Below are 24004 nucleotides of genomic sequence, written 5' to 3'. Positions count from 1 at the left end.
TATTATAGTCTCTATTAATGATTCAATTTCCAGATTAGATTGTTTATTATAATATGCCAACCTAAGGTATTAATCAATGAATATTTGTTTATTGGTTATGCTTAAGAATTATTTTCAGGAGGGTAAATCTGTGCCTCTGAGGCAAATATTAAATAGACGTGTCAAATATTTTATTTAACCTGTTAATTAATGAATGGACCAGGAAAGTTAAAATCAGTTCAAATAACATTTGATGAGGTAGGTATAGAGGTAATTTTAAGAAAACATATTAGGGTGAGATTCTTGGGTTAGATATAAAACTAGTTAATGTCTTTCTGGGCAATAAATTGTAACTTTCACAGTTATCTCTTCATTGGAGAGAAATGATTTGCATATTTACCTGAGAAAAATCTGTACATTAGGTTGTGTTCCTAAAGAGTTGTAAATTTTGAACAGCAAATAGAAAAGTAATAAAAGAGCACCTAGTAATCTATTGCTTGTTTCCAAACTTCAGGTGATTTTTCTAATAGTTATATGTAGGCACTTCTTTAAAGACATTATTCTAAAATTCTGTCACTACACTAGCACCTAAGTGTGGTTTGATTAAATTGGTGAGTCGCTTCAATACTATACCAAAGTAGACAGTGTTCTTGGTTTTTATGCTAAATTGGCTGCTTACAATTTTTGGTTTGGTCAAGATCTTATTTGATATGAAATTTTTTAAAATACGCTTCCTAAAAATGGTCTGATAGATCTAGGTGTATTATTCTCATTAAAAGAGAAGCTAAAACTTAAGTCATAGTAATAACTATTTTAAAGAGATGGATGAATAAGGAAGGAGTCTCTTTATAATAAGGAAATGCATTTAAAAATTTTATAGTTATCGCATGCTGGATATAAACTGAATTGTGTCCTCCTAAAATTCATGTGTTGAAACCCTAACCCTCAATGTGACTGTATGTGAAGACAGAATCTTTAGAGAGGTAATTAAGGATAAATGAGGTCCTAAGAGTGGAGCCCTAATCCAATATACCTGGTGTCTTTATAAAAAGAAGGAGAGACACCAGGAATGCACCCACACAGAGAGGAAAGGCCATGGGAGGACATAACAACAAGGTGACCTTGAGTACACAAAGGAGACTGATCTCAAGAAAAACCAACCTTGCTGGCCTCTTGATGTTGGAATCCCAGGCTCCATGACTGTGAGAAAATAAATTTCTGTTGTTTAAGCCATGCAGTCTGTGGCATTTTGTTATGATTTTCCTAGCCGACTAATACAATCTTTATTCACTAGAACATGTTTTTGGTGAGAATTAAAGCTTGTAATTTACAATGTATATAAAGGCACATTAGTCATAATTATTAAATAAATTGGCTACATTAACTAAATTGGCTATTAGACACATTAGTGATAATCACTTTATTCCTAAAAGTGCATAGGTTAGAAAAAACTGAGAAACCAAAGAAAACTACATAATAAAATCCACCAAAATATTTCTTATAAAATTATCAGTTCATTCTTTTACCCTTACCAGCATGTCTCTTCCATTTTTTTTAAAACTAATTCATCCTATTTTCTCACTTCTCAAAATGCATATTCTCCATTCTCTGAACTGAAACAATGATAAATATCTTGTTTAATTACTTCTAAGAGAAAATGCCACTAGTTTCATAGAACCTGACTCCATTGGACAGCTGGTCATGTTTCTTAATCCCAGTCTGCATTGCTCCTGGCTAGTTCTACTCACCAGAAGGTGTTGAATGAAAAGGGCAATTTGAATCACAGTCCTGCCTTGCTAAGGCTTTGTTCAGCAATATCTGTTTTTATTTTTACATAGACTTAGAACTATGTAGTAGACTAAATGTGACAAGCATGCGACCATTTTCCAAGGTCGAATACTCTTCAGAAAGCCAGATTTGGGGTTTTATTCAGTGATATTTTATTTTTCCTTTAAGAATCATAGACAAATGTTGAGGAAAAATAATACGATAAAAAAGTTACTCATTTAATCAATTATTAATTATTAATAGTATTAATACAAATTTGTATTTGTATTATGAGAAAAAAAATTAATTAAAAAAGTCTGATTGAATCCCTGATAGTTTTGACATGCTAAGTAGTACTGGAAACCCTATTACTTCCTCTTGGCTTTGCTTTCTTTACCTATATTCTTCCTTATTTTCCTTTCCAACTTTCCATAGTCTTTTTTAAAAGGTAAGATCTTTTTTATTCTTCTACTCATTGATAGTTTGAGATTTCAGACCTCTTCTGGCAGCTTTACCAAATGATAAAAGCATGAAACCTGGTTGTTTAAATCTCTTACGCAAACAGTATGAACTCCTTTTTGTGGTCCAGAAAAAAAGAGTCAGCCACCACCATAGTGAGTGCTGGTTACATGAAATAAAACATGGGCAAATTCTTATTCACTTGGCTTGTTTCTTTGAGCCCCGTTTTCAAGCATTAAGAGCAAACGCCATGTAAAATGAATTATATATTCCAAGAGAAAGGAGTGGCAATTTCTTTGGTATGTTTGCCTTTTCTTTTGAAAAGATAAAATCAGCCTTCAGTTTTAGTAGACATTCCTTTTCGAATTGAATCACTGAGTTAGTGAATAATACAGAGTTTGCATGGCCATATGTTGGATGCAAACACTGAGCCTAGGGTAATTGAAATGACTTCCTCAAGATCACCCAAGAGCCACTGGAGGAGTTTTGCTCCCTTTTGCTCCCAGAACAATAATTTTTTTTTTTATGTTGTCACATGGCTATAAGAAACCTATACCTGATGTCCAGGATATTTCTCTAAATAAAAGGTAATCAGTGGTCAGACATGTGGCGAATATATTAGACTGCTGCTCTTACCCTGGTGTGCTATTATTTGGGGCTTATGAATAGAAAATGTAAAGTAATCTCAGAAGGAATTTTATTCTAATGTTCTTTCAAATAATAAAACCTTTTGTTTGAAAGGAATTAGGATGACAAAAACCTAAGATTATGAGAAACCTGGTAGCAGATCTTTCCTTTGCAAGATTACAGTGAGTTAGTGGTAATAAATAAACCAGTCAGTGGTAAACAAGTTTCATTCATTTTCCATTTCTAAGTTGAACTTCAGAGGAACGGTTGCCAAAGGCACTGTGGCCGATCATTTAGTCACAATGCATTGTTTTGAAGACATATGGTACCGTTTTAACCTATCCATCTAGTATTCTACAACCAGTCCTACTACCCAGACTGAACATTAGGTGTTCTGATCGTTAAAATTTTAACATAGCCACATGTTGATGGGGGAATTTAAGGCGTTTTATTTTCATCACTACACTTGATGGTAAGTTGTTTTCCAGGAAACTACGAGGCGTTAAAATGCCTCTTCTATTTATATCATCAACATTCTAGATATATTATATAACTTATACATACACGTCAAATGTTTTCTTCCATAGAGTGATAATCTTAGTGACTGTGTATTAAATAATTTTTTATTTCTTAATACCAATTTCAGTAACTTGATTTAAGAAACAAAAACAAGCATTCAAGAAATAGATTTACAAATAAATGGTTTCCACCTTTGGGCTTCCTTATGAGTCAATAATTTTTCTACTAAGTAGATTCTGTGTGCCTCTCAAAAAAAGGAACAGTCTTTGTCATGAAAGATGCTCTCTCAAAGTGTCTTTGTCCCCCAAATCCCAAAACCATATGACTTCTTAATGATTGCTTTATTTTTTTTCTCACTCACTAATGGAAAAATTGTCTTTACTTTTTAAGATATTATGGAGGTGTATATAATGTCTTATAGGATGTTGACTCTTCCTAATCACAAATACATTTCATGATATAGAGAATGCAATGAAGAATTTAGGAACGATAAATTATTTTCAAAAGACAGCTTTATTTTGATGTTGATTTGAGAATTCTACTTAGGAACAAACAAGCAACAACAACAAAAAACTACAAAAAAACTTACATACCTACCTCAAGGTAAATAAAGCTTGGCACAAGTGTAACTGGGATTCTTCAAATATATTTTAATCAGATTGAATATTTTGATTAAATGCATGTAATAAAATTCCCCACAACTCATAGAGATGTTTTAGTAATAATGGGTTTGCTCATAGGATACATACATACAGAGGCGGGTGTTTTTATTCATTTATCAAAGGGGTCTGATAAGAAATCAGTACTTTTTCTCTTAAAATTTGTTGTAGAGACTATATTTCTTTTCTTTTTTTTTTTTTTTTTTTTTTTTTTTTTTTTGAGACAGAGTCTTACTCTGTCACCCAGGCTGGAGTGCAGTGGCGCAATCTTGGCTCACTGCAACCTCCACCTCCTAGGTTCAAATGATTCTCCTGCCTCAGCCTCCTGAGTAGCTGGGACTACAGGTATGTGCTGCCACGCTCGGCTAATTTTTTATATTTTTAATAGAGATGGGGTTTCACCATATTGGCCAGTCTGGTCTCAAACTCCTGACCTCGTGATCTGCCCACCTCGGCCTCCCAAAGGGCTGGGATTACAGGGATGAGCCACCATGACCAGCATAAAGACTATATTTCTTTGAAACTCCTTCATGATGCTAATTCTAGTGAGTATGTATTTATTAGTTAAGTTTCCTAGAATTATAACTGAAAACGCAAAGAAAGGGAAAGCAACTCCAGCCACCTTCCCAAAAGGAAAAATTATGGAATTATATTGAGCCATGATGAGGAATCCAAGAAGCAGGTAAACAACCAAGAATGAAAATCTAGAAATCTCACAGACTTTTTATCTAAAATACTGTAGTTAAACTGACTTAGTTCTAAAGATTTTCAGAAACTGACTCCTCGGTTACAAATGTCCAACTTCTGAGGGCAAAATATCTGGTTTTTGTAGCTTAAGTGCCCACTTGAGTATGAGAGACAGGCTTCTGCATTACAGTTGTATGCACTAGTGGAAGTGAGGGGCAGATTTTAACAAGTGAAATTTCCAGATAACAAGGGTCAGTGTTAAGGTTGGAAGACCTTCCCAAAGTGGGGTAAATCGAATGCAGACAAGTCATATTGGGAATTGTAGTGAATACCAAGCTGTATGAGGTCATATGAGCTTGAGAACATGTCCTTGAAGAGTTTACAATCCAGTTTGGTAACATAATAATAAGACTGATGGAAAGATAAATACAAACAAATAATTCAAATAATAGTTGAAGGAAATAAAACCGTAGATATCCCAAAGCACAGTGTGCTTATTGATCTATACATTGTGCAGAGAATAGCAGGTAGCAGGCCAGAAAGATCACTTAAAAGTAGAATGGCTAATGTAGGTTTCGTCCTTCATAAACATTTCTTTTTTAAAATGAAGTTTTGCTAATGTAGGTTTCGTCCTTCATAAACATTTCTTTTTTAAAACGAAGTTTTTCTAATGTTTGCTCAGAAAGCATTTTAGGTGAAGAAATTCACTGGCAGATGAGGTATAATTCCTTTTCTTTGATTAAAATAATAGAATTCTGGAAAGAAGCTATCAGGCTGAGACTTTGTACTACACCCACTTATGAATAGCTGCACAGATTTTATTGTGTATGATCTTCCAAGTGGGATAAAGCTGTGTATGTGTTTGATTTATGAAACCATAATATTAAAAAATGGATTCAGGAGAATTGTTTTATTGCCTTAAGATTTGGGAAAGAAATGTCTTCTAGGTTTTATTTATGAGATATTTCTTTATGGACAAAATAAAATGGAGATTGAATGTTGATGATAGGAATTTGATCATTTTTTAAAATGCTGGTTTTAATTTTGTTTAAATTATGTTTATTTTGTCGTATAGATTTTTTTTCTTAACTTTTGACACTTGCCTAAGTATCTGCGTGATGTTTGCTTGCTTTGTATATTTGCGTGTATTTTTCTGTATATCGGGAGTTTCTTTAAATTTGAATGTTGTTGCCTGTTGATGCGTGATTATATCCTGAAATATTAACTTACAAATAACATGATAAAAGAAGCAGCTAACATTTTGCCAGGCAACGCCATCATGCTTAGACAAGGGCCAATAATTCTTCCCTGGTAAAACAGCAGCTTGATCTGTGTCAGTCACTGTTCTAAGCTGGCACCCACAAAGCCATAAAGCTTTCATGTGATTCTGAAATTACATATAGACGTAGAAACACATTCCCAATGGAAAAAAATATTATGTGCTCCTTGATAAAATGTTTTAACTACTCTGACAAGGACCTTATGAGACTCAAATCAATTATGAATATTAAAGGTATAAAGTCATCTTTATAAATGATAAACTCATGAAGTGTTTTAGAAACTTGTATTTCATTCTAAAATTTAGAAAACAGTATTTTAACAATTTTTAGGCATGTCCTACTAAAGGGTTTATGAAAACTATTTTTTATAGAACAAAGCCTATTGAATTCTCAAAGAAGTATTTGATAACATGTTTACACTTTGTGAAATTTTTGGTATGATAGGAATTCCAACTAGTTACAAATGCTTGTGGAATGGGCATATTTCCAAGTCTAGCTAGTATAGCTGGTAAATAGTAGAGATAACCCATGAAGGGTGGGACAAATGAACACCATATGGTAGCATTCTAGAATTTTTGCATTGATTTTATCAATCAAGTAAACAGACACCATGACATATCACCTTTTCCATCCTAACAAAAAAGTTCGTATTCTGCATATTAGCTGGCCATTTAAAGAGCTTACAGAAAGATTATTTACTATAACTAAATATACTTTCATAGCTATAAATTCCTCCCTTTGGGAAAAAATATTTGAAAATTGTTTATTGTGATAAGAGTAAGTGAATGTCAGTTCTGCTTCATCCCCTGAGAAACACTCTATACTTTCATCAGGTTTGTATCATCAGCTTTCATCAGTCTTGCTACTAAGATATTCTCTATAAAGTCCAATGTACAGTCTCTTCCTGGAAATGAGTCACCAAATACTTAAACTATTGAGTTACTGCATGATCTTTTTTCCCCAGAATAAATTACTTAGGTTCTTTATCATGTTTCAAAAGCAACTCAGGCCCTGAGCACAGTTCTGAGCTAGGCAAGGTTTACCCTGTCACTCAGCCTTCTGTTACTGTAACCTTCTTCACTTTGAGACTCTTCTTTCCATCTATAATCACACCAGTGTCCTCCTGGCACCCTTTGTGGATACTATTATCAAGGAAAACTCAAAATCTATTTCCAGGGACAGTAAAGGACGGTTAGCAGTTTTAAATATTGCCTTCCTGACAATGCATATATTTCCACTAAAAATGAGATCAAAGACTTGAATTTAAACTTGAGTCTTAACATCTTTGAAAATATAATGTAAAAATGTAATCAGGTTGGCCGAGCCGGTGGCTCACGCCTGTAATCCCAGCACTCTGGGAGGCCAAGGTAGGCAGATCACCTGAGGTCAGGATTTCAAGACCAGCCTGGCCAACATGGTGAAACCCCACTCTACTAAAAATACAAAAATTAGCCAGGTGCAGTGCATGCCTGTAATCCCAGCTACTTGGGAGGCTGAGACAGGAGAATCGCTTGAACTCAGGAGGCGGAGATTGCGGTGAGCTGAGATTATGCCACTGCACTCTAGCCTGGGTGATACAGCAAGACTTCGTCTCAAAAAAAAAAAAAAAAGATGAAAATAAAAAAATATACATATAATCAGGCATTTCTCCAGAAGAAAAAAGTACACACAAGTTGCCACAAAATCTTAGGAAAGATAATATCTGGGAAAGCTATCCAAGGAATATGTGTTTTAAAATCACTGTAAAATGAGCTGGGCACGGTGGCTCATGCCCGCAATCCCAGCACTTTAGGAGGCTGAGGTGGGCGGATCAGCTGAGGTCAGGAGTTCGAGACCAGCCTGGTCAACATGGTGAAACCCCGTCTCTACTAAAAATACAAAATTAGCCGGGCATGGTGGTGCAGGCCTGTAATTCTAGCTACTCAGGAGGCTGAGTAAGGAGAACTGCTTGAACCCGGGAGACGGAGGTTGCAGTGAGCCGAGATCAAGCCATTGCACTCCAGCCTGGGTGACAAGAGCTAGATTCCGTCTCAAGAAAAAAATAAATAAATAAAATCACTGTAAAATGAATAAACATGTTAGGATATAATTTTGAATATCAATGAAAAAATTTTCTTAAGTCTGGAGTTTTCCCTTCATCCATCTGCGTATTGGTAGCCTGGTATAAAGAATAATATTTTTCCAAATATTCAATATTTTAAAAAACATTAAAACTTTTTTTCATTTTCTTATAATCTCTCGTTAAAGGCAGTATTTTATAGTGGTTGCAACACTCTAGAAAGTGTTAGCTGATCCACAGCCGGGCACGGTGGCTCACACCTGTAATCCCAGCACTTTGGGAGGCCAAGGTGGGCAGATCACAGGGTCAGGAGTTCGAGACCAGCCTGGCCAATATGGTGAAACCCTGTCTCTACTAAAAATACAAAAATTAGCTGAGCGTGGTGGTGGGTGCCTGTAGTCCCAGCTACTTGGGAGGCTGAGGCAGGAGAATCGCTTGAACCCGGGAGGCAGAGGAGACAGTGAGCCAAGATCGTGCCACTGCACTCCAACCTAGGCGACAGAGCGAGACACTGTTACAAAAAAAAAAAAAAAAAAAAAAAGTGTTAACTGATCCAAATTAGAATGCTGTAAAACAATTCCTCTCGGTTTTTCTATGCTGTATTCTTTCTAAATACAAACTTAGGTAAATTAAATAGAAAGCTTAGGTAAATAAAGTGTTGCACGTATCCTACAAACTTTCATGCAAATGTGGCTTTTTATTATTTAAGCAACAAAAGTAAATGTGTCTGTCTAATTAGGTGGCATACATTAATTAGCAGTATTTGGGACGTTACATGTAGAAACTGATGTTATATCTTTATAGCCAGTTATTGAACTATAACATCTACAAATCAATGGATAAAGCTAAAAGCCCATTTTTATTTTTTGCATTTTTATTTTTTAATCACTTTGTATCAAGATTATTTCAGCATATTTTCTAGTATGTCAACAGTAAGATTTTAAGATACTTCTATGTATAGTTAATAATGTAATCAGTAAAAACTATGTTACAGGAAAACTCATAGTTGTGAAGTTACATATGTATTAAAGGTAAAATCTGTGACATCTTACTACCATTTTTTCCAGTGTGATCTATCTATAATTCACATTGCCTAACCAATCTTAAATATAGATACTAGAGTTAGGGTATTTGCAAAGTACCAAGCTGACAAATAGAGTGTTGGCTATTATTTCTGTTTGGAAGTCGGAGTTTTGAGGTATTCATTTTGTAGTCTGACAGTCATCACTACAATTCCTTGAATTCCCAAAGCTTTTCATATGGCTTCCTCAAGGACGGCTATCGTGTCTTAGCTACTGCAATGACAGATGGGATATAACGTGTCATGTGATTGATAACTCTGGAGCCATAGTACTTAATCCTTCTAATACTAATAGCTGCATTATCATAGAGATTTATGAGAATGTCAGTTTCAAGTTCCCAGTTCCATTCATGGGTTTTTAAAACTTCAGCTGCAAAAAACATGCATCCATCCCATTAATTCTAATTATCATGGTTCATCTTCTCAGCAGTTTTGCACTCCGGAACCTTTCAGTGCAAATTAACGTACCAAAAAAGTGTATTAATTAATATTTGTAGCTTTTAATTTCTGCAAGAGTGTTGTCTGGAAGCAGCTGGCAGTACAGGGCCGCTGCTATTGAATCTTTGCCAAACAAGTGCAGATGTAATTTTGTTATCTCTTGCTTAGTCATTTACGCAAATTAATTTGAACAATTAGCCTTTTACTGGTCCTTCATGAATCATGCAAAAGGGATCTGCCAAAAATTGCTAGTTGACAGAAAAGAATTGGTTAATGCTGTGCATTTTGTGGGAAGGTAATGCAGAGGGAAACTCAACATTATTTTAGACTGTAGACAATTGCCTAAATATTCTGTTGTAAGATCTACTTAGCACTCATAAACAAACTTGAGAATTCCCCTTAATAAAGAATAAACCTGCATTCTAGAGAAGGTGCAGTTCATAGGAGGACTCAAATCTTTCATGTAACAGCCAACTTGAATATGTCTTAATCAAGTCTATATGCAAAGTAGGAAAAAAAGTGTTCATTAAAAAGAGAAATTAATGAATTAATATTGGCTGCTTTTCAGGTCACACTCCTCACGTTTATTTACTCAGTATTTGTGTATATATGTGCTTGTGTAATTATTTATCTATTATGTAAGGTAGATATACTACACATTTGTAGCCTCATTTGATAGCTTCTAGTAACCTGAGAAATTAGTGATGGAGAGTACTTTAAAAAGTTAAATATATAGTTATTATATTTAGATGACCTGAGTAAAAAACACCGTAAGTGAAATACATGTAATTAAATCACCTCAGAAAGAGTAGAGATCTATTTTTTGTGTGTTTATAGTAAGTTACCACTATCATAAAGGACACAAAAAAATAGTAGTTATAAAATTTGCAATTCTTTTTTTTTGGAATCAGTACAAACTACCTGTGATTTTATGTTTTTACTTTAATTCCACTTACTTGGCACTTTCAATTACTGAAGCTAAGATTTTCTCTAATTTTATGTACAGGTGATTGTACACTATTAAAATAGGAAATCAAAGCTCACAGAAAAGTCTTTCTTTACTTTGTATAAAATTAGAAAGTCCTCAAAAACTTTTTCATGGTGTATGCTAAAGTATATTGACACATGTTTACATGTTTTAAAGACGTGTGTATGTTCACATATATTATACTTATAATTGGTTAAAATGTGTCGTTCCATCTTCTTCTTACCATTTGATTTTGTAGAAAATTGTTAATCTCATACCATAGCTATCAGAAAAGAGAACTGAAAAAGAAATGGCTTTTTTATTTATCTATCTATTTATGCTGGGAGAGGTGCCTCTCCCAGCATAAATAGATCTTAAAAGTAAGTGCATTTAAAATAGGGTTAATGAATCATCTACTGTGGAATATTTTTAAAATCCAAGTTACTGATTATTACATAAATAATATAAATCATTTTAATCATCAAGAATGTCTAAAACTGCAAAGTGAATGTTTTCAATCAATTTTTGGCTACATAATGAAACTTAAACTTTCCCAAATATACTTTCTGCAAATCCAGTATTAATGAAAAAATTGAATCAAATGTTTGAAATCTTTTAAATTCTCATTTATAGAAAATCTTATTTTATCTCTCTGTTGGTATTAGTCATCTTCAAAGTAATTTGTTTTGGATAACGTCAGGTGAATAGTGTCAAATCAAGCTCAAGCTACGTCAAGAGACTGTTTAGCTAACATGAAAAGTTTTAAAACATAATTAGTTTTATCTTTTTCTGTTTAAAGAAGTGACATTTGCTCAGTGTTGAAAGTCTGAAAACTATAAGAAAGAAGAAATATTAAAACAAAAAATAAACAATTCCAATATTTTTGCAAGATAACTACCATTAACATTTTGGTACATTTCATTTTCATCTTTAATCTTCATATTTTTTGAAAAACATCACCATGACAAAGTAGTAAAGCACTACATAAGATAAAAAATTATCTTGCTATTAAAACAACTTTATTATTTTAATAAATTTATAGTTTTTAAATTTAATTGCCTATTTTGATATTGCTGCATGTTAAGTTGTGTCAATTATTTTTAGTTGAACTCTTCCTCTATTTTAGTTAAGTTCTTTAGACCTAAGTCTCAGAAAGGGGATTATTTGGTTCAATGATGTGAATATTTTGAAAATTGATACTTATTGCTTCATTTCTTTTCAAAATGACTGTACTTTTTCATAGAAATAGGAGAAAACTTAGGAGGCTACATCTCTAACAACAGTAAATATTATCATCAAAATAATAAAAAATAATCTTTAATAATATTATAAATTAAAATTTAAAATAACAGATGCTTGCTTATTTACCTCTAATCATTAGCAAAGTTGAACATTTTTATATACTATCTGATACAGAATTTTGTCATCTGCAAATAATGATTAAAATATAAAATTCAGTGATTTTTTTTGAGATTTAGTTGTAATCATTGTTTTTAAAGTGTTTTGTAAAATGCTATATAAATATGAGCTACTATCACTAACATACTAGTGAATAATTGCTATGTATAAAAACTTGATTTTGCAATTATATTACTGTTATTTCAAATGATCATAAAAACAGTAATAAGCCCACATGCCTCCAGAATTAGAAGCTATACATTTAGTTGGCTAAAACCCTCTTCAGAAAATTTATTTTTCTTCCACATTGCATGAATATTTAATCAGAAAATGTAATTTACATCATAGCAATACATAAGGTAATATATAATTAACAATTTCTAATTCAATCTACATAATTTCAATTTTTAAATTTCATCTTATCTTGCTAACACTAACAAATGCTATCATATAGTCACTTATTGTTTAGAATCATCCTATATTTAACCTTAGATATATAGTAAAATTCCTGGTCCTTAATGATATTAAATTATCTTATATAAAACATTAAAAATAGAGTAAAAAATAAATCAACAAAATTATTTTTATTTTGTACTGAATTGTCCAAAGTAATTTGGTGATTATCTTTTTATCATCCACTAAGCCGCATGCATAGTCTACATTTTTGTTGCAAACATCAATAATATAATAGCATTCCAGATATTTTTTTAAAAGAATTATGTGACTTGGTATAATAGTCATTACGGTATTAAATAAATATTGAGGGGGAAAGAAAAGGACAAAATACTTTGGTTTTTCCTTGGCTATATAGATGCCTTCTTATGTGTGAAATGAGATGCATTTACATCATTTCTCTGATTACAAAGCAATATATTTTTGATGATGAAAATGCAAATTTAAAAAATCAGAATTAAGGAAGTAAAAACAATCCCTAATCAGCAAAAGATAAGCATTGGTTACATATAGGTGATTATATTTACAGTATCACTTATCACTTGCATATATTTAACAAAATAAACCAGCTATTTTCCACTTAGGTACTTTCCATATTAGTAAAAATATTATAAACTTATTTTTATATTATTCAATCTTTTGAAGGAATAATTCATAATTTATATAGTCAACTTTCTATTTTGATGTAAATATTATGCAATGTAAATATGTCTATATCATATATTTGATATAAATATAATATAAATATTATATATTTTTGTAAATATATGATATGGACAGCACTGAAACTGATGATATATATTCATCACTATTTTCTTGAAATACATTTCTTAGTTGATTTTTATATCATAAAGCCTGTTTTAGCATGTGTCTTAATGAGTACACTGCAGGTTTAATAATACTAATAACTAATTCCTGGTAATGAACACCAAGGCTTTCAGATTTTAATCATCTTACTAGTGATTAATAGTTCAAAACATCTTAGTTTGTTAGCAAATCCACAACTAGTGTCTTAGTAATGTGTATCTAAACCAAGTTTGTGGTTTATTTCATTGCTGGGTAACTGACTAATCAGAAAAAAATATCTCATACATACATACTGAGAGAGATGAAGCTAGTCTCTCTGTAATTGAAAGTATCAGTGGTAAACTTGGCTGGAGCTTGATTAATAGTATATTAAAATCAGAGTCTTGTTGGTAAGTGCTGGATAAGGAGTTTTGGGCAAATTACTTGGTTACCGGGAAGCCTTTAAATTTTAATCATGGAAGTACTTCAGTGTCATTAGAAACCGAAAGGACAATGGGGTCTCCTGGCAAGTTCTGTGAATTGTTGTGCTTTTCAGGCTCTCCTTCTGCCGTGCTATTGAGAGCCAAGCATGGGCTGCAATCGAAAATCCTTTTGCTCCCCATGACTTTGATTGCTATTATTGTAATTTAATATTACACACTGTCTTCGGATAAAATAGTCCATGGAAATTAGAAGAAATAATGCAGAGGGTTGGGGTGGGGGTGGGACAGCTGAAACAGAACTCAAAATTAGTCCTGAGTTTTAAGATGTATATCTTTCCTCAACTCACTGCAGTTGCAGTGAGAAAAACGAGGTTATCAAAGATGTTTAACTTAAAATAAGCAACAGGCCTAAAAGAAAGGAAACTTCGTTCTATGTTGAACCCATGGAAATTATATTATTTTATTAGTTGCAAGGTAAGTTTTGACATTTCACACGTAGTATTTATATACAACATGAGATACATATCATTTATCTTAATGAAAATCCTAATGATGATTATTACAATTTTATATTAAGTCATGCCATGGGGTATTTGACTCCCAAAAGGCAAAAGAATATTTTCTCCTGTGTATATTAATTCCAGTTAATGTAAGCCTTGATTACTTCGGAGTTTTGAAAAGGTAAACAAAGGATAGAACCACAAACATTAAAGTAGGAATAATCTTAAAAATCATTTATCCAGTAACCATATTTTGCCAATTAGTAAAAGGAATAATAGAGCAGAAACATTACCTGAGGAGTATCTTACTAAAACAACCTCCTCTTAAGAAAATTTTCAGCACAGTTTACAAGCTGGGAGATTCTTTTGTTATGTTTGACTTCTTTTAAAAAAAATTTATAATAATTTATGCAGTGTTTCTTTTTCCAGAAGATGGCACAGAGAGCTTGTGAGCCTTAGAAATAATTTTCTGAATAATTCTAAGAAACCAATGCCATGACTCTATTCATTGGCTGAATGCATTATGTTCTGGGTGCTATACTGAGTTGCTTCTGGTTTCTCTAGCTGCTTTAAAATATATCTAAACTTTTCTCTTTTGTATAAAAAAGACAAACCAAGATAGGTTACTTACAACTCAGTTATGAACAAAACATGATCTCTTCAAGAACAGATATGAGCTTTTCTAAGCACTGGGGCCATAAATGTAGACTATAAAGGAGATTATAGGAGAGAGATTTAAACAGTGTTTTCCAATGCAATATGGTAAACAAATTTGTAGAGAAACATATGAGATTGAGGATGGCTAGAAAACCCATATACCACATTTGATTATTTTCTATTCATTTCTCTACACAATTTTCATTAGTTAATTAATTTTGATTTAGAAATAATCATAAACTTACAGAAAACTTGCCAGTATGGTACAAATAACATTGTTTCCTGTACCTATGGAGTATATCTCAGTGTCCTCATGTCCCTTCACTCCTGAAATGCTTTAGTTTTTATTTCCTACACAACCACCGTACAACCATCAAAATCAGGAAATTAACATTTATATAGCAGTTCCTTTTAATCCTCCAAGGATCTGATCAGAGTCAAGTAGTGTATTTAATTATTACATCTCCATAGTTTCCTTCAGCCTAGAACAGTTGCTCAACCTTTGACTTTCATGGTTTTGATGCTTTTGAAGTTTAAAGGTCCGTTATTTTTCAGATGTTATTAAATGTGGATTGGTGCTCCTGATTAGATTCCAATTATCCATCATTAAGAAGAGTATCAATGAATTGATGCTGTATTTTTCTCATTATGTCCCATCAAGAAGCTCATGATTTTTTTTGTTTCCCTGATTACTTATGATGCCCATGTTTATTGCTTGATCAGAGTGATCTTTGCCAGGATTCCCAAGCCAGGCACACATGCATCATGTGGACCACTAATGGTTTTGCACAATTACTCAGAAGCTTTTGGCAAATTTTGCAAATCCTCTGAAACATTTGTAAACCTTAGAATAAGTATTCTATATACTTTTAAACTATGTAATAGTCTTCTCATTATATTTATAAGCTTATTTATATCTAGATGGATTCATGGTTTTCTATTATATTCAACAGCTTCTAATCCATTCCTGTCATTTATTTTTATGGTCATGTTATCCTGATTTGTCCAGTGGGAGCACTTCAAGCTAGTTTCTATCTCTTTTTGACTTGTGCCCGTCATTCTTTGAGCATCTCTTTTTTTTTTTTTTTTTTTCAATAAATCAAGACTTTTTGGCTCATCCTGCTCTGGTCCTACAATCAACTATCTCTCAAATGGGCTCTGTTTTTCATTTTGTTTTGTTTTGTTTTAGTAGTGGGTAGTATTTAGAAGCCACAGTCTGATTTCTCTATATTTTCTTATTGTTACTGGGATACCATTGCTCTTAGCACCTATCAGTGTGTCAATGTGTCAATGTGTGTGTGTGTGGACATATATATATTATACTGATATCTATCATTGATGCATATCTAACGTATATCTATTGAAGTTACATCTATGTATTTTCTACATTTAACTCCATATATGTGCATATATGTGTGTGTTCACCTGTGTATGTGCAACTTCACCACTAATTTCAGTTCCAATCTATTTCCACAGGGTTTTCTTGTAGTTTTTTTAACTTTTCCATATTGGTAAATTTCTTCTCCATTGGGAAACCTGCCTCCCAATATTCTCATTATACTTATTTGATTAAATCCCTATATGTATACAAACTACTGTTTCCACTGCTGTTCCTTCTGTGCCGTTACAGATTGGTCTCCAATATCCAAAGGTGGGCTTTTGTTATGCAAGCCTGCCCTCGCTTTCCTGCTTGGTATCTAACATCTCCAACAGGGTTGCGCCTCTGCGCGGATGCCTTCTTTACCTTGCTTAGGCTCTCATAACCTGTTCTGCTCCCTGTCCACCTTACCCCAGGGGCCTCCATCCCTTAACCCATAAGTCATTGTGCTGTACCTAATGGCTTTAGGTCTGACTACTTTAAAGGGGAAAAGGACTAAGGAAGAAAGGGAAGAGAAGAGAGCAAAATGGAAAGAAAGACTAAGAGGAAGAGCTGTACATGTTCATCACCTCGTCTGTTTGTGCTATTTATGACCATTTTAGTGCACTGTTCATTAATTTTGTTCACACTAAGAGTTGTTAGGAGAAGTTGACTGAATGTCTATAAAAGTGTGCCCTTACAAAAATATGGGGTATACTGTTTTAAAAGAAAATCCTATCAAGTAGATTAGGATAAGTCACTGGAGGAAAAAAGAGCAGGTAAAGTCAGAAGTACATTAGCAATTGTCAGCTTGGGAAACAGTATATGCTAATAAAAAGCTGAGAAAGAACATCGTTTGAATGAAGAACAGAATGTGGTCTGTATTTTTTATAGTAGCAGAGGAGGATTGTCCTCTAAATAATAGCAGCCAATGATTCCGGTCCCTTTCCAGACTTTTGATTAGTTATGATAGTAGTGCATAATGATCCCCCAGCTGTCCAATCTGACAGTTTCTTCAACCCTACATATCTAAGTATCCATTAGCTCAATTAGTCAGGATGTTTTGGGCAGAATTTATTGACCCAAGAGATAGGATGGCGAGTTCCTGTTTGCCTAGCCAAGGGACTGCCAAAATTGTCCTGTGTTAATATATGGCTATGTACAAAAGACAGCTTGAACAGAGAACTAAGTAATCTTTAGAACACAGAAAGTTACTAGTGACTTGGAGAGAACCCCTCCTGAGTTCTTGCTTCCACAAGTTCAAAATTCCATTTGCATGGATGGTCAGATTTTAAGTCATCCTTGTTGAATAAGCATATTGAGACAGCAATAGCCACATTTCACCTATATTTAAATATCCCACATAAGGAAGAAAATAGATTTTACCATTAAATTATAACAAAGGCAGCTACATTAAAGATGTAAATGCAGTTTATACCAGTCTTAATACACAAGCTGACAGACAGCACTATTAGATTGTGATAATAAACAGGCATATTGAACAAGTCTTTGATTTAGAAAGATATCTCTAGAGAAATTGCTCATAGAGAAGCAATCATCTCAATCCAAATTTTCTATGAATGAAGCTTTGCCTGAACTAATACATTGCTGACATTCTAGTACAGTATAATTATAAGTTTGGTTAATGTAGAAAGTTCTCTGTAGGATGGTAAATTTAAGAATATGAAACCTCTCAACAGGAATTTGTACTGTCCGATTCCTGCTGCTGGAGCCATTGGTCAGCCATCTCACAGAATTTTAACTTTTTGTTGGCTCTGGGAATATAACTGGAGCAACCATTTAATTTTCATTTTTACCCCTGTTGCTTTTTATTTTATCTTTCCTTTCTTTTGAAGTGGGCATATTGGTATAGAAGGACTTTCAAGGATGAGTTTTTATGTGCTTTCCTTTGAGGAAATTTGGATCTTTTCCTTGCAAACATGCCCCCCTTGCAGTTTACCACCCAATATTTTATTCATGTTTGTGCTTTGCTATGAATCCTCTCTATTTGTTTCTTATTATATGATGCTCCTCATGACTCAACAGGACCATAAGAAAAGGTGTCAAATGATGCTGTAATATAACCTGATTACTGGATATATATGTATAAGCATGCCAGTTGAGTGTGATTGTCAAATACAAAAATTGATTTTAATAACCCTCAAGTTTTGAGATTGAGAAAAGTAGGGAAAAAAGAGACAGTAAGGTAAGCAAAGTTAAGACAAAACTTAGGGAGTTCAGTGTATATTCAGGTGGTTACAGGACATCATTTTGGAAGTGTCCCACATGTCAATACAAGATGGAAACTCTAGAAAAAATTCAGAAAACAGTCCTTTTAAGATACTTTACACTTAATGACATATAGTGTAATGACATATAGTCCTTGGAGTTTTCACTTATATGACATATAGTCCTTGGAGTTTTCACATGTTGGGGAAAAAAAGCATCATCTTATTCTGTACCCATAATGTGTCTAGATGAATTTGGAGTTAGGATTCCTTGGAATGTTAATTTCACTTATGGATTTCACTGGGCAATATGAAAATGATTATCAGTTCTTTTGAAGTTGATAAAGTTATACTTGGAAGTTTTAAAGTTTCAGACTTAATTAACCATAGACACTTACAAACTTATTCCAGTCAGTTCAGTTAAGGAATGAAATATAGACCATATTTAAAACAAAATCAGGAAACAGTTCTGATTAGGATGAAAGATCCATCACAAATTAAGAAATAAAAGTGTAATACTGGTACTTCATGTTAGAGCGGGCCATTAAAAAAATCATGAAGTGAAACATAAGAAGGCTAGAAAAGTTTGGAGTAGGCTAGATAAATTATTTGGAAGGCTCTGTGCTAATCTGCCAAAAGTGTAAGAATCAATTTGGCTGATAGGCAATGAATAACTTGTGTTTGATATCTGAATTTTTCAGTTAGCATTTTCTGAACATGGTTTCTCATTATGATAATAAAGAATTAATTATCACCATGATAGCATTGATAATGGCGCTTTGAACTGTTCTTGTCTCCATATGACACAGACTATTACTTGATTTTAAATTTTAAGAAAAATATGTGCACTTGGAAGCATTTGATTCAGTTTGGTGAAAGTGATACAATTAAGTTATTGGAGTTAATGATGGGGACACAACATTTTAAAAACACTACTTTCACATTGGTCATCCTTTTACAGTTTTAATTGACCAGTTAAAGTAGAGAATAATTAACAGTATCAGTGGAAATACTTATGTCAAATGGATAGTTCAATTAGAATATTTGCTAGTTTCTTCTAAAAATCTCTATTGTAGCAGATAGAATGTTGTAAGAAATAATATTGCTAATTACCTTTCCAAAACAATATCCTTCACTAGCTCAAGTGCAACAGATTAGATGTAAGGCATTTAATGAGAATGGCACAGCATACTGGATTTTAATTTTAGATTATTGGATACATGTATGGTAGGCAATGATATAATTGAGAAATGACTATGTTACTAATTGAGACTAATGGAAGCAAAATATAGATTTTTTGGTATCGTTTTTATAGCGACTAGAAACAATGTTTATTAAAATAATCAAATTAATTATGTAAATGATTATGTGTTATTTGTTTTTCTTCTGGAGTGCTCCATATTTGCCATAATAAGAAAGGCTGCTGAGTTAAAAGAATAAAAGTTCTGAAATACGGAGTACATATGTTATTGCTAGCTGCCGTTCTTTGATTTACACAGTGTACTCTGTGGGCAACATGATTAAGATAACCACCAGATAGTTCTAAGTAAATACCACTTCTGAATCGGCCTCTTCTTACTTAGGTAAACCCTAGAGTAAGTTGTTTTAAACCCTCTGTAGTTTCATTTCTTTATCTGTTTATATAGTTTATTTTAATGAAGTAGTTTTCAAACTTTTCTGACTTAGTCCAATAGTAAGAAATATATTTTATTGTATGAACCAATATATTTTCATATATACATAAAACAGAAAAAGTTTCACAAAATATTTTTCTTACTATACACACTGCACACTGATATTTTCTTTAAAAATTTGTCTATTTTATATATATATATTTTTAAAAAAACTGATTGTAACTATTAACTGACGGATCATGGCTTGCGGTTAGAAAAACTCTGGTATTGAGGTTCTTGACATTAGCTCAACATGATCGAGAGATCAGAAGGAAGACATGAGTCGGGTTAGATGAAATAATTTTCTACATACAGTGCATAGCATAATAATATAAGTACATGAGAACTAGGTAGCAGGATTTTTAGAATATTTTAATGAAATAGAAGTGTATTTTACTGTCAAAAAATATTTTAAATTAGTAAAGAACCAAGGTGAGAAAAACGTCAGTAGTAATTGTGATACAAATATAATTTCAACATCTAACCTGAGTTTTTGGTAATTTTTCATGTATGTATGTATACAGTTTCTTAATAAAATTTAATAATATTAATATACTTTGTAAAAGACCACTTTTTCTCAAATATTATTTTACAATATAATTTTTAATAGCTGCAAATCATAACAAACCATTATTGAAAAAAGTTGAATTAATACTGATTTTGATTATCTTAATTACATGTGAAAAAAAAAAACTGTGGGATACAAAGGTGTCACCAACAAAATAAATTTGATTGTGTGGTTGCCCTAACAGAGACTGGCTACTTCCTGGCTACAGCAGGAATCTATGGCATTCTTTTCTAAATCATTAATGAGTCGGTCGTTAAGATCTAGTTTCTGGTTTTCTATGTTAAAGGTAGTAGATGAAAATTCCTAAAGTACATGAAACACCTGGATATAAAATAAAGTGATTTGACAGTATATAAATATTATAAAAGGCTGGAGCAAGAGGAGACATTCCTGAACATCAAGTTAAGCATTTGACTTTTTGGGGGAGAGGAAGATTAAATAATCTCAGATCATGACTCCTTTTCTGTACTGGAAACTTTCAGAAACAGTTGTATTGCAAATGGCCTTGGTCTCAGGATGCATTAATATTAACTGTTTATGAAAGGTTCCAATGCATAAAAGGAGTCATGATCAGAGATCATTTAATCTTCCTTTCCCTCAAAAAGTAAAAGGCTTAACTTTTGCATAACTCAATAGCGAATCCACTAATATGTGTCCTTAACATAATTATTTTAAGTGACATAATTAAGTCATATCTTGTATATACCTAATAGTAGTGTTCAATTAACAGGTAATGACTCTATTAGTGAATCAAATTAAATGCTTATTGAAGACACTAAGTTTAACATGTTGCTCTCCAAACTTTTCATTATTTATGCATTTATATATCACTAGTGAGTAGTGTATAAGTCCTGGAATCATGAGAAATTTTGCCATTAAGAAACAACTCAGAGGTTTAACAAGGTAAGAACTAGACTTAGCTAGTTTGGTGAACTTACATATTCATTTTAAGCCCAAGAATTTTTCTCTGCCAGGTCAAATCCCAGCTGGCTCTGTTGGTCATCTGAGGGAGCATCCTGGACATAATCTTTCTTTATCGGATTTTTGAGGAGAGTTTTGTCCTCCTGAATTACACATTTAGATGTTTCACTTATATTCAAGTTTTTACTGCCAGAAGAGTTTTCAAGTTCTAAAGGAATCCATGGACTATCTATACTATATATCATTCTTTAATAGGGTTGTTTTTATACTGCTCTGAAATTGTTCTCTTCTTATCTCCAGTATGTATAAATGTGGTTAAATCTGCAGGTACGGCATCTCAGCTTGGTTTTAAATGTGAAGGAAGGGATTGCTCCTTTGTTTGCATTTGAGGGACAGCAACATACAATGGCTAAAGGTGTCAGTTTTAGAAAAGACTTTGCCAGTGCCACAACTTACTGTCTATGTGGCTTGGGCACAGGAACTTCACCACTTTGTGTCTCATTTCCTGAACTGCAAAAAAAAAAAAAAAAAAAAAAAAAAAGATAAATTAGTACCTGTCTTATTTTTATTTGTGAGAACTTGGTGGCTAATTCATGTGACACACATTCACAGTAACATTTAGTAAATGTTACCTATCTCTGTATCTGTCCTCAGTATCTTATAGCATATAAAAGATGGACATAATTGAATAAATATAATTGGATGAATACATATTATAGCCAAAATTGCTCCCAGATATCTTGTTTGCCCTATTACTTTATGTAATTCTCAAAGATTAAAATAGCCTATTTTACATTCCCTAAAATACCTAGCGTTTGATGCCACAAATGATATTTAATGAATGGGATGTGAGGAATAAAATTAGCAATAACTGTTACAAGACAAAGCACACTCTGTCCTAGAATGAAAATTATTTATAATGATTGAATATGTGTAAGTTGCAGGAAAAATGTATTCTGCAACCATCAAAATCATGTCTTTTTCAGAAGTGATTTTAAATGTATATTGAATTGTATATGTGTATACTTATTTATTTATTTATTTAAACACATCAGCATATTGAATTTTACATTTATATTTTTGAGAAATAAATTAAAAATATGTGACTCCAGTGGACTTCAGGGCAGTTCACATAACTGCAATGCTATTCAAATATCTTTGAGACGTCGTTCCCAGAATAAATTCATTTTGGCAATGAATTGGAATCCAGAATTAAGACCTTTATATTCAAAGTAATTAGTAGTACTTAGTAGTATTAGCAGCTTGACCCTGAATTTTGTGGTCTCTTCTCTAGACTATGTATAGATATTTGTGTCAAACAGTGTCTAACCAGTGTACAATAGATATTAAATTATAGGGAACACATAATAGAGGCCGTGGAGCAGCTTGGGAAGTGGAATGTGCATCTGGAAGTTGATGAGGGTGGGTGGAAGCTAAGAGGATACTGAACTTGACTCACATACTTATTATAATGTAGCAAGTTGTAAATTGTTTCAGGTTTTCTTAGAAATTTTAGAAATGAAATAAAATACAACCCACATTGTCTTTTAAATATACATAGCAGGGAGACATGCCTCAGAGTGTAGTAAAAAAAAAAAAATTGAGAAATTGAAGTCTACATTTGTGGTTTGAACCTGGGTTGTTTTTCTCTAACTGCTGATTCATTTCAACTCAAAAAGAAAAGAATTTCATTTATGTCACAGACCTCAGAAACAATTATTTCCATAGAAATATAGAATCCATAATTAACACTTGAGACAAAAATATATTCTTAAATAAATATTTTAAAAATGTAATTGGAAGAGACAGCCAGATCCTAAGATATACATGTTTTAAAATGATAGGCTCAATAGATGATAGCATAGGGAGAAAGAATCTTAGAAGGCAGAGGTATGGAGACATGACATTACTTTGTCTATTCCTAGTGCAAGCATAATTTTTGAGAAAATAGAGTATTTTAAAATGATATAAGCAAATTTGAATTGTATTATTTTTGAATATTATAAACATGTTGCTTCCCTTACATGCTGCCTCCAGAAGTAATGTTATGTTAAAAATGTACAAAACTTTACCAAACCGCTTTTCTACCTTATTCCATTAGTCAAATTACTGTGGATTTGACTAATTCAGAGCTAGAAGACAATAGGAGACTATTCATTGAAATATATTTAATTGAACTTCTGATTCAACAGCTATATTTCATTTCCATACACTTTCCTCTCTTCATTTTCCTATCTTCCTCATGGCTATATTTCATCATTGTCCTTCCAGCCATAATTTATTCATCCCACCACTCCTTCTTTCTATTCCTTCTTTTTTCTCTTTTCACTTTCCCTTTCTTCTTCTCTTCTCTCTCTTCAACAAGCCTGAATTTCCATGGCCTATCCTCTGCATCTGTTTTTTCTGCCCAGGAATGTACGCAAGGTCTTAGAAAAAGAGAGGTGAACAAAGATCACATAACCATATTGTTGGTTGCTCTTTGCATAGTCCACTAATTA

At 32.7% G+C, this 24004-nt stretch overlaps 1 long non-coding RNA gene across 1 annotated transcript in view; it reads left to right on the top strand.

Annotated features, from left to right (window-relative positions):
- The window catches only part of LOC124907895 (uncharacterized), a 36037-nt gene that overhangs the window by 5262 nt on the left and 6771 nt on the right, over positions 1–24004 (top strand). The window lies entirely within an intron of this gene.

Source organism: Homo sapiens, chromosome 2, assembly GCF_000001405.40.
Source record: "Homo sapiens chromosome 2, GRCh38.p14 Primary Assembly".
NCBI classification, from domain to species: Eukaryota; Metazoa; Chordata; class Mammalia; order Primates; family Hominidae; genus Homo; species Homo sapiens.
Note: the sequence above shows the minus strand (reverse complement) of the source record. Positions and strands in the feature narration are given on the sequence as shown.